Here is a 12,003-nt window from a genome sequence, read left to right on the forward strand (position 1 = left end):
ATACAAAAATTAGCCAGGTGTGGTGGCACACGCCTGTAGTCCCAGTTACTTGGGAAGCTGAAGCAGGAGAATCGCTTGAACCCAGGAGGTGGAGGCTGCAGTGAGCCAAGATCACACCACTACACTCCTGCCTGGGTGACAAAGTGAGACTCCGTCTCAAAAAATAAAATAAATAAATAAATAAATAAATAAATAAATAAATAAATAAATAAAGGGGACAGAGTACAGCATGCAGTGACTACATGCTCAGGCAAAATTGATGTAGTATGACTATGGGGAAAATAGGGAGACCACGTGAAGAAATAATATTTAACTGCTCACAGTAATTCTACTCATGGTGGTAGCATTCATATTGGTAGTCTGAGACTATTGTGTGCTCACTACAAGATAAAGTAAATGAGTAATTAACTATAGGATGTTCTAATTATATAATCTCCTGTATATATATAATTTTTTTTTTTTGAGACAAAGTCTTGCTCTGTCACCCAGGCTGGAGTGCAGTGGCTCAGTCTTGGCTTACTGCAACCTCTGCCTTGTGGGTTCAAGCAATCCTCCTGCCTCAGCCTCCCAAGTAGCTGGGATACAAGCATGCACCATGCCCAGCTAATTTTTATATCTTTGGTAGAGACAGGGTTTCACCATTTTTACCAGGCTGGTCTCAAATGCCTGACCTCATTCAGTGATCTGCCTTCCTTGGCCTCCCAAAGTGCTGAGGTTACAGCGGTGATCCACTGCCCCCAGCCCCCATGTATTTTTGAGGACCAAGATTTTCAGTACAAAAGAAAAGATGCATAGATTTAACACAGAAAAGGCAAAAGTTAAACACCTAATCTAGATCTGAATTGGAAATACCAGTATAAATGCATGTGTTGTTTAATCTTTTACCTTAAAATAGATATAATTGTGTATATATGCACACATATACACATGTACGTATACACATATACAGATCCATCAGCCTGAAACTTCTTGTCATACCAGATAGTGAGGAAACCATTAAAGACCACCAAGAGCTGGGTGCAGTGGCTAATGCCTGTAATCCCAGCAGTGTGGGAGGCCCAGGCAAGAGGATTGCTTCAGCCCAGGAGTTCAACATCAGCTTGAGCAACATGGTAAGACACCATCTCTACAAAAAAATTAAAAATTAGGTGGGCAGATCACCTGAGGTCAGGAGTTCGAGACCAACCTGGTCAACAAGCTGAAACTCCATCTCTGCTAAAAAATGCAAAAATTAGCTGGAAATGGTGGTGTGCTCATGTAGTCCCAGCTACTGGAGAGGCTGAGGCATGAGAATTGCTTGAACCTGGGAGGCAGAGGTTGCAGTGAGCAGAGATCGCACCACTGTACTCCAGCCAGGGCGACAGAGTGAGACCCTGTCTCAAAACAAACAAAAAAATTAGCTGGGCATGGTGACACACGCCTGTAGTCCCAGCTACTTGGGAGGCTGAGGTGGGAAGATCCCTTGAGATCAGGAGGTCAAGGATGCAGTAAGCTCTGACCATGCCACTGCACTCCAACCTGGGGACAGAGCAAGACCCTGTCTCTAAAAAATATTTTTTAAATAAAAATAATTCTTAAAAATAAAGACCACAGGCCAAGCACGGTGGCTCACGCGTGTAATCCCAGCACTTTGGGAAGCTGAGGCAAGCAGACCATGAGGTCAAGAGATCAAGACCATCCTGGCTGAGATGGTGAAACCCCATCTCTACTAAAAATACAAAAAATTAGCTGGGCGTGGTGGCACGGGCCTGTAGTCCCAGCTACTTGGGAGGCTGAGGCAAGAGGATCACTTGAACCCAGAGGCAGAGGTTGCAGTGAGCCAAAATCGCGCCACTTTACTCCAGCCTGGCAACAGAGTGAGACTCCATCTCAAAAAACAAACAAACAAAAAATAAAGACCACAAAAGTCATGTCAAAAGAACTCAAGAACCAAATTAAAGTGGTTTCCACTAGAAAAAGATAGAACAATTTGAGCCTCAAAAATGAACTACAACTGGGGCTGGGCACGGTGGCTCACACCTGTAATTCCAGCACTTTGGGAGGCGAAGGCAGGTGGATCACTTGAGGTCAGGAGTTCGAGACCAGCCTGGCCAACATGGCAAAACGCTGTCTCTACTAAAAATATAAGAAAAGTAGCCGGGCATGGTGGTGCTTGCCTGTAATCCCAGCTACTTGGGAGGCCGAGGCAGGAGAATCACTTGAACCTAGGAGGAGGAAGTTGTAGTGAGCCGAGATCATGCCACTATACTCCAGCCTGGGTGACAGAGCAAGACTCTTGTCTCAAAAAAAGAAAAAAAAAAAAAAAAAAGGAAAGAAAGAAAGAAAAAAGAACTACAATTGACTGAAGCTCAAATATGTTTTAATGCATGAAGTCATATTGATTTTCTTTTTTAAAAAAATGAATTGGCCACCTTTAAAGGATGATAGGGTGCTAGAGAACCAATTTTCATGAATTTAAGAACTAATAAAGGGAAAGAACCAAACATTTATCTTGCCTTTCTATTATAGCCTGACCAACCTGTAATTAAAAATAGCTAAGGGGAAGAGTGTCCTTATTAAACTATTCCAATTTCCAAAAAAAAAAAAATTTAAATAGGCTGGGCACAGTGGCTCATGCCTGTAATCTCAGCACTTTGGAAGGCTGAGGCAGAAGGATTGCTTGAGCTCAGGAGTTTGAGACCAACCTGAGCCACATAGCAAGACCTCATCTCTACTAAAAAAAAAATTTTAATTAGCCAGGCATGGTGGCACTCACCTGTAGTTTCAGCTACTCAGAAGGCTGAGGTGGAAAGATCTCTTGAGCCCAAAATATTGAGGCTACAGTAAGCTATGATTGCACCACTGTGCTCTAGCATGGGTGACAGCAAGACCCTGTCTCTAAAAAAAATAAAATAAAATAAAATAAAAAGGTTTTGTTTTAAAAGAAATGGCACAATTACAATATCACCATTTTGTAACTTCCAAGGAATTAATGGGTCTAGGCAATGATTATCCATAGCTGCTATCATCAAAAAAATAAAGTCCACCAGATATTAGTGCCTTCTGATAAAAGAATGTCACAGGTGATGCTGCGTATGTCATAATGGATCACATTATGACACATGCTATATCAAATTTTCTCATTTTGGAGATGCTAAATTTGATCACTTGGTTAAGGTGGTGAATGCATGTGATTTTGACCTGGAGAAGATTATTTTTAAAAATAAAAGAGCCGGGCGCAGTGGCTCACGCCTGTAATCCCAGCACTTTGGGAGGCCGAGGCGGGCAGATCACAAGGTCAGGAGATTGAGACCATCCTGGCTAACACGGTAAAACCCCGTCTCTACTAAAAATTAAAAAAAATCAGCCGGGTGTGGTGGCACACACCTGTAGTCCCAGCTACTCAGGAGGGCGAGATAGGAGAATCACTTGAACCCGGGAGGCGGAGGTTGCAGTGAGGCGAGATTGTGCCAAGGCACTCCAGCTCGGGCGACAGAGCGAGAGTCAATCTCAAAAAAAATAATAAAAAAAATAATAAAAGAGATGTTTTTTCAAAAACAGAGGAAGTCACCCAGGATCCATTCTGGCAAGGTGGCAGAGCACAAGGAAGGGAGATGTCTACCTTTCAAGGGTAACTTGGCAGAGGTTCTCACAGCAATGCCTCACACCCAGTGTTGGCAGCAGTCAGTATTCTACTGGAACAATCTGGCAATGTGATCAATGTAGTTCAGCTATTGTTTTTAAGAACAAAGCTCTCCTGGAAATTTTCTGAGCTACTTAGTTGCTATTACTAGATTTTTTTTTTTCCTAGCATGGATTCTGTTGTTTGTAACTAAAAGACCTGACTGATACAGGATCCAAAAGATTGACAACTGTGTGTGTGTGTCTGTGTGTGTGTGTGTGTGTGTGTGTGCCCTCACATTCAAATTAATGAGTCTCCAAAATGCTATTGATTTCTCCAAATGCATTTTAAAAACCTAGGTTGAATGACAAGAAGTTATTTAACTTGATTGATGATTGCCTCAGAAAGCCTTGAGGAAGATAAACAGAAGCTTGGCTGTCCTGGAACTCTGTATTTCACAACTGTTGGAGTGCATGTACAGTAATCTTTGATTTTATATAAGCCTGACAAGAGAGTGAGCATGACAAGCCTTTCTCAGAAAATTCTTAAAGAATCATTTGTTCTCAGCTGGGCATGGTGGCTAACGCCTGTAATCCCAACACTTTGGGAGGCCAAGGTGGGGGTATTGCTTGAGGCCAGGAGTTCAAGACAAGCTTGGGCAACATAGTGAGACCCCATCTCTAGAAAAAAAGTTAAAAACTTAGCTGGGCACGGTGCTTCATGCCTGCAGTCCCAGCTACCTGGGAGCCTGAGGTGGAAGGATCACTTGAACTCAGGAGTTAGAGGCTGCAGTGACCTATGATCAAACCACTGCACTCCCACCTGGGTGATAGGGCAAGACTCTGTCTCAAAAAAATGAATTTATTTATTATTATTATTATTATTATTTAATTAGAAAAAAATAGAGATGGGATCTCGCCATCTTGCCCATGCTGGTCTTGAACTCCTGGACTCAAGGGATCCTCCCCCTCGGCCTCCCAAAGTGCTGGGATTATAGGCATGAGCCACCATGCCCAGTCAAAAAAAAATGTTTAATTAAAAAAAAAGAATTGTTTGTTCTGGAAGCAATTAAGTCTAAAAGCCCACTCAGTGTTACTGTTGATTCCATATTTGCATGTCTCTTCTGTACCACACTTTCTGGTAGTCTCTACAGGTTATTTTGCATATATTATATTGTGGTAAACTGTAACAGTGTTCCAAAATATTCACTGCCTCTGCCAGGAGAGAATTCTATTTTCTCTTCCCAGTCCTGTCAGGCTTGGCCATGTGACTTGCTTTGGCCCACGAAAGGTGAGGAGAAGTAACGCAGGTCACCCTGGGCTCTAACAGCCGGTGTGGGCTCTGCCAAGCTCTCTCTGTCCTCAGCTTCTCTCTGGTGTTCCAGATACAACCTTTCAGTCAGCATGAGTCCCAAGGGAAGATGACTTGGAGCGGAGCCTCAGCGCATCCACAATGGTCGTAGGGCATCAATATATGAGGGATAACGTGGTAAGACACTGAGCTGGGGAACCCCGTGCAACCTACTCTATCCTGCCTAATACGGTATTCATTGCTTATGATTGATAATAGCTACTATTTCATCAGCACTGTTTGTAAACCAAGCACTTGTGTTCTTACAACATTATTATGAAGTAGATATTCATTTCTCCACTTTACAGGTGAGGAAACAAGACCTGTAGAGATTAAGGAACTTTAGACCTGAGTTTAACCAGCTTTGAGACCTGGGCCTGAGTCTGTCTAAGGCTGAGGCTCTTGCCTCATGTTGGAAAACCAGCTACATTGGAAAACCTCCTGCATATCCTCCACAGCATTTGTGATCTCTTCCCTGAGCTCACAGAAGCACCCAGCAAATGCTTACAAATGACTAACTGAAGGGCAATGACTTGAGCACAGCTGCTGAATATGTGAATGAAGAAATGACTACAGCCAGTTCCTGACTTGCAACAGTTCCACTTACGATTTTTTTTCCTTTACAATGGTGCAAAAGCAGTAGGTATTCTCTACACATCTCAGCATATGGGGATATGTCTGATATCCCCATCCTAAATTGAAAATACCATAAGTCAAAGGTTCAATATTTTCGCCGGCCACACTGGCTCACGCCTGTAACCCCAGCACTTCGGGAGGCTGAGGCAGGTCACTTGAGCTTAGGAGTTTAAGACCAGTTTGGACAACATAGTGAAACCCTGTCTCTACAAAAAAAGATAAAACTTAGCCAGGTATGGTGGTGCATGCCTATAGTGCCAGCTATTCAGGAGGCTGAGGTGGGAGTATCACTTGAGCCTGGGAGGTGGAGGCTGCAGTGAGCCAAGATCATGCCACTGCACTCCAGCCTGGGCAACAGAGCCAGACCCTGTCTCAGAAAACAACAAAACAAAAGGTACAATATTTTCAACTTAGGATGAGCTTATCCAGACATAACCTCATCGTAAGTAGAGGAGTGTCTGTATTTGTTGAAAACTGCATTAGGTAAAACTGTCTAGAATCTCTCATGTAATACAAAAAAGATACAGACCATATCTTCAAAAACTAGATAATAAAGAGGTGAAATGGACCAAATATAATATTTAGAAGTGGTGTTGGAAGAAGGCCACACATTGGCCAGAGGACTAGACCAGGAATCCAGGGTCTGCATTCTAGTTCCTCCTACAGCTGTGTGCTGTTGGTAATCATTTTAACCTCTCTGAGCCTGTTCCATCACACAAAAAGATACTAATAAAACCAGTTCTAGGTGTCGAATGAAATAATATATGTGCTATGTTATGAATGTGTTTCCCAAAATTCATACGTGGGAAACTTAATCCCCAATGCAGCAGTGTTGGGAGGTGGAGCCTCTGAAGAGATCTTCAGGTCACAAGGGCTCTGCCCTCATGAATGAATTAGTTCCCTTTCAAAATGGGCTTTCAGTAGTGGGTTCATTCCTTCCTGCTCTTCTGCTATGTGAGGACACAGGTCCCTCTCCTCCAGAGGACACAGCAAGTGCCATCTTGGCAGCAGAGAGCAGCCCTTGCCAGATGCTGGAGCCTTGATCTTGGACTTCCCAGCCTCCAGAACTGAGAAATAAATGTCTCTTCTTTATAAATTACTGAGTCTCAGGCATTCTGTTATAGCCGCACAAAATGGACTACGACAACATGTAAGTCACTTTAAATTCTACAGTGGGTTGAAATGTCCCAGCATGGGGCCTGTCTGAACAGGAAAGTGGGTAAGTTCAGAAGAGGACTAGAAAGATGCTTCATCCAAGGGCTATAACCCTTTGTGGCGGGGCACTTGAAGAACATAGACTTTTTGAGTTACTGAAGTGTCTCTTTTATAGAATATATAATGCATATTGATTTTTTTTATTTTGTTGAAACTTCTTGATTTAAGAAGCATGCCACAAATTGCTATAAAGTTATAAAAGAGTAAGAAATTACTAAATTGGAGGCATCTCCTGTACAATCTAAAATTCAGGACCCCTTGTGAGAGGTCACTTGCTCCCTGTCGCCATGGAGGGGCATGGGATCTGTGCGTAAACATAAAATCTCTATGCACACATGTGTACACTTGCAATTAAGCCAAAGAATCTGCAGAGTATGTTTAAACCAGTGTAACACACCTCTCAGTCATCTTCACCCCAAAACGCTTTACAATGGAAATGGACTTTGTGCTCTGGGTTACTGAATTCTAGTCTTGGAAATATCCTCAAGCACGTGGAAAAGGAACTCGCACTTACTGAGTGCCCTCTGCGTGTCACAGACTTTACATAGGTTATCTCTAATGCTTATAGCAACCCTTCCAGATCTGAAGTTTAAGAGGCTTATATAACCTGCTCAAGGTCACACAGTTAGCAGGTGACAAAAGATAGATAACAAAAGCTACTGAAATCCTAGTTTATCTGACCCCAAAGCCTAGGTGCTTCCTCCTAGACCAGGGGGTTGGCAAATTACAGCCCATGGGCTAAGTCCTGCCCACCACCTTTGTTTTTGTACCACCTGTGAGTCAAAAACATTCTTTACATTTTTAAACAGTTGAGAAAAAGAAGAAGAATTTGTGGTGCGTTAAAACAATATGAAATTCAGATTTCAGTGTCCACATGTAAAGTTTTGTTGGAATGCGGCCCTGTCTATTTATTTACCTATCGTGTGTGGCTACTCTTGCACCACGATGACAGAGCTGATTGGCTGCAACAAAAACCATATGGCTGGCAAAGTCTAAAGTGTTTGCTTCCCTGGACCTTTTAATTTTTTTTCTTTAAGTAGAAATGGGATCTCACTATATTACCCAGGCTGGCCCCAAACCCCTGGTCTCAAGTGATCCTCTTGCCTCGGCCTCCTAAAGTACTGGGATTACAGGTGTGAGCCACTGCACCTGGCCTGCTTCCCTGGACCTTTACAGAAAAACTGTGCCTCCCCCTGCTCTAGAGCCTGTAGCCCTGTAGGTGATCCTTTTACGGATGAGAAAACAGAAGTCCACAGAGATTTAATAACCGTGTCCCAAGTTAAACAATCTTGGGAGAGATGCAGGTCTGACAGATGAGAAATCCTAAATCATAAATGTGCTGAGTTTCAAAGAAGCTCATAGATGGGTCAGCAAACCTGGCTGACCGCGATGGAGAGAGTGAGTGAGTGGAGTGGAGCAGAGCAGCCCAGAAGCTGCAGAGGTCATAGCAGAAATTCGGGCTCTGGTGGAGAATGATGCAATCAATTTGGGAATCTGAAATGACAAAGAGACAGAATATCCTGCCAGGAAGACACTGTCATCTGCAGCGTGGAGGCCGGATTAAAGGAGAGCACTCAAGACTCACTTGCCAGGGCAGAGTAAATCACTCTCAGAACTTGATCTTTCACTCAGTGAAACAAATAAAAGAAAATGGTAATAAACAAAAATCGTGGTACTATTGCAATTAATTTGTTCATAACATATTAAGAGAACGTTTATAAAATATGATTGTTTTTGTAAAAGAAATTGCATATGTATTTGTGTGTGTGTATCCATAGGAAAAAGCAAAGATAGATTTACATCAGCTTTCCAATGGTAGCTACTTCTACAGAGAGAGAGAAAAGAGAGGAGGGAAGCTCTCGTGTTCTATTTTATACAAAATTATATCATTTGAATTTTTATCTTGAGAACATAATATTTGCAAAAACTTAAAAACAAAATAAGTGATCTGTTATCTGTAAAATAAATAGACTGTAAAAGATTGTTTAGTGTCAGTGTGGAAGTCACTAGGAGGTAGCCCCCAAAAGCCATTAGGCTGGTAAAAATCTAAGCAAAGCCTGTAAACCAGTTCATTGCAAGATCTGTAAACTAATTAGCTGTATGATGCCAATACCAATTTCCTGGTTTTGATCAGCATATAATACTACATAAGATGTCACCATTGCAGAAGCTGAGTGATGAGTGCATGGGACCTCTTAACACTGTTTTTGCAACCTTTTGCTTTTTAGAAGTTTAAAATTGAAAATTGAAAATTGAAAAAGAGCCGAGCATGGTGGCTCACGCGTGTAATCCCAGCACTTTGGGAGGCTGAGGTGGGCAGATCAGTTGATGTCAGGAGATCGAGATCAGCCTGGCCAACACGGCAAAACCCCATGTCTACTAAAAATACAGAAATTAGCCAGGCATGGTGGTGTGTGCCTGTAATCCCAGCTGCTAGGGAGCCTGATACATGAGAATCACTTGAACCTGGGACACAGAGGTTGCAGTGAGCCAAGATCGTGCCACTGCACTCCAGCCTGGGCAACAGAGTGAGACTCTGTTTCAAAAAAAAAGAAAAAGAAAATTTTAAAAGCGGCTGAGCATAGTGGCTCATGCTTGTAATCCCAGCACCTTGTGAGGCTCAGGTGGAAGGATCACTTAAGCCTAGGAGGTCGAGGCTACATTGAGCCCTGATCTCGCCATGGCATCCTAGCCTGGGTGACAGAGTATAACCCATCTCAAAAAAAAATAAAAAAAAGAAAGTTTTAAAAGAAAACTACTAGGTGGAACTACATGAAGTTGTAATATTGGACTGTTTTTGACCCACAAATATGGCAATTTCATATAGTTAACTCTACAGTTAATCTAGGGAAAGGTGTAGCTGAATTAACTGTATTTGAACCTGTCTGAAAGAGCTTTGGCAACAGATGGAGGCCGTCTGCATGGGGTATGGCAGCTTCAATTCAGCAAGCCTCCTGAGGACTTCATGGTTTCGAGGGGCAGCTGTGGTCCTGGGGTTCAGCTCCCTCTATTCTGACTCCCCCCTCACTAAGCAGCACTGGTGCTGGGAACATGGGTTCCCCAGTCCCTGGGAAGATACGCAGCTCTTGACATGCAGGCTGATGATCCTTCCCTGAAAAGTTTTGTTAGCAAAAGCTGCGCAGCTGGAAGAGTTCTGGGTGAGTGGACAACATTATGCTTCAGGTCCTAGAAAGCTGAGGATAACCCTTAAGAGTGTGGTGGTCACAAGCCAGCACCACCCCTCGGGGTAGCCAGGCTCTCTCTGACGTGGCTTCTGCATGGTCAGCACTGACCAAAGACACAAACAAAGGGTGGACCTCAAAAGACCCAAAGGAGAAGTAGGATGCCTCAGCAGCTGCTCCACAGAAGCAGCCACCGTGGTGCCGTGGCAGCCCTTTGGACAGGGCTCCCAAATGTGCGGAATACTTAGGCTGAAGGAAAAGAGCACATTCTGGCCAGGCGCGGTGGCTCACGCTTGTAATCCCAACACTTTGGGAGGCCGAGGCGGGCAGATCACCTGAGGTCGGGAGTTTGAGACCAGCCTGACCAACATGGAGAAACCCCATCTCTACTAAAAATACAAAAATTAGGTGGGCGTGGTGGCACATGCCTGTAATCCCAGCTATTTGGGAGACTGAGGCAGGAGAATCACTTGAACCCAGGAGGTGGAGGTTGGGGTGAGCTGAGATTGTGCCATTGCACTCCAGCCTGGGCAACAAGAGAGAAACTCTGTGAAAAAAGGAAGGGAGGGAAGGAGGAAGGGAGGAAGGGAGGGAGGGAGGGAGGGAGGGAAAGGAGCACAGTCTCTGTTATAGGCAGAGTTTGACACAAATTTCCCAGGCCATAGAAACTCTGGGACTGGACTGAGGAATAAATGACCCTAGGTTATTCTCCTCGACAGCAGGACACCAATAAAATCGCTGAGAAAATTTGTCAAATACATTGTTTCAGAAAGAGTATTTGCATTTTCAGTGTCAAAAAAAAGAAAGTAAACTAAAACTAAACTTAATTTTAAGTCTTAAAATTAAATGGAGTATTTATTTTTTCCTTAACGTCTTTTGCCTGTTACCAGTACTAAAAAGAAATATTTTAGAAAGGTGTTAAACATTTGGGTGAGAGAATAGCTGAAGAAAGCAATACCATGGGCAACCACTGAAGTGCTCTCGGAGAAGAGCATGGAATGAGAAGAGTGCATTACTTTGCTAGTGCATTGCAAATGTCAGACTGCATTACAAATTCATAGACTGGGGGGCTTAACAGAAGTTTATCAACTCAAAGTTCTAGAGACTGTAAGTCCAAAATAAAGGTGTTAGCAGAGTTGCTTCTACTAAAAGGAAAACTTCAGACACATTAAATTTAGCAGAGTTTACATGACCAAAGAATGATTCATGAATAGGGCAGCCATCTGAAAAAGAAGAGGTTCAGAGAACCCCACCTAGCCTTGTGAACAGAGAGCTTTTATAGGCCAAAGATGGGGAGGCAAAGTAGACAAATCACCTGATTGGCTATAACTAGGCATTTGCCTTATGGGATATTACTGGTGTCCTTATAATAAGGGAAATTTGGACACAGAACACACACAGGGAGAATGCATGGTGTGATTTGTTGGCTGCTGCTGATTGGCTGAAACCTATTTGTTACAAAAATGTACTATTAAGTTAGGTTGTGGCTTGTTGTGTGGGAACTCTTAGAGACAGCCTCAGGCCAACAGCCTCCTGCTTATTGAATTCAACACTTCTTTTCAAAGGCTGTGGGGGAGAACCTGTTCCATCACTTTTTCTCAGCTTCTGGTGGTTTGCCAGCAATCTTTGGTGTCCTATGACTTGTGGAAGCATCCTCTCAATCTCTGTGTTTATCTTTTTATTTTATTTATTTTTATTTTTATTATTTTTATTTTTAGAGACGGGGTCTCACCATGTTGCCCAGGCTGGTCTTGAACTCCTGGGCTCAGGCAATCCTCCCATCTCAGCCTCCCAAAGTGCTGGGATTACAGGTATGAGCCACCACGCCCAGCCTATTTTTTTTTTTTTTTTTTTTTTTTGAGACAGGGTCTCAACTCTGTCTCCCAGGCTGGTGTGCAGTGATGCTATCATAGCTCAATGAAGCCTTGACCTCGCAGGCTCAAGCCATCCTTCCACCTCAGCCTCCCAAGTGGCTGGGACTACAAGTGCATGTCACTATGCCCAGCTGATTTTTTTTCT

General features: G+C 43.2%; 1 long non-coding RNA gene across 1 annotated transcript, besides 1 other annotated feature; it reads left to right on the forward strand.

The window, feature by feature from the left end:
* The first annotated feature begins 4,031 nt into the window (after nucleotides 1-4,031).
* On the forward strand, nucleotides 4,032-5,761 carry LOC105374904 (uncharacterized). Its single transcript, XR_926432.1, has 3 exons — nucleotides 4,032-4,076; nucleotides 4,986-5,089; nucleotides 5,260-5,761. It is a non-coding gene; the product is annotated as an uncharacterized LOC105374904 (long non-coding RNA).
* Nucleotides 11,312-11,606: an enhancer, noted in NCBI's record as "tiled region #13455; HepG2 Activating non-DNase unmatched - State 22:ReprW, and K562 Activating DNase matched - State 12:CtcfO". NCBI's record gives its function as "activates a minimal TATA promoter and a strong SV40 promoter by Sharpr-MPRA in HepG2 and K562 cells {active_cell/tissue: HepG2 | K562}" and the evidence as "EXISTENCE:reporter gene assay evidence [ECO:0000049][PMID:27701403]".

The sequence above is a fragment of the Homo sapiens genome, chromosome 6 (genome assembly GCF_000001405.40).
Source record: "Homo sapiens chromosome 6, GRCh38.p14 Primary Assembly".
Lineage (NCBI taxonomy): Eukaryota > Metazoa > Chordata > Mammalia > Primates > Hominidae > Homo > Homo sapiens.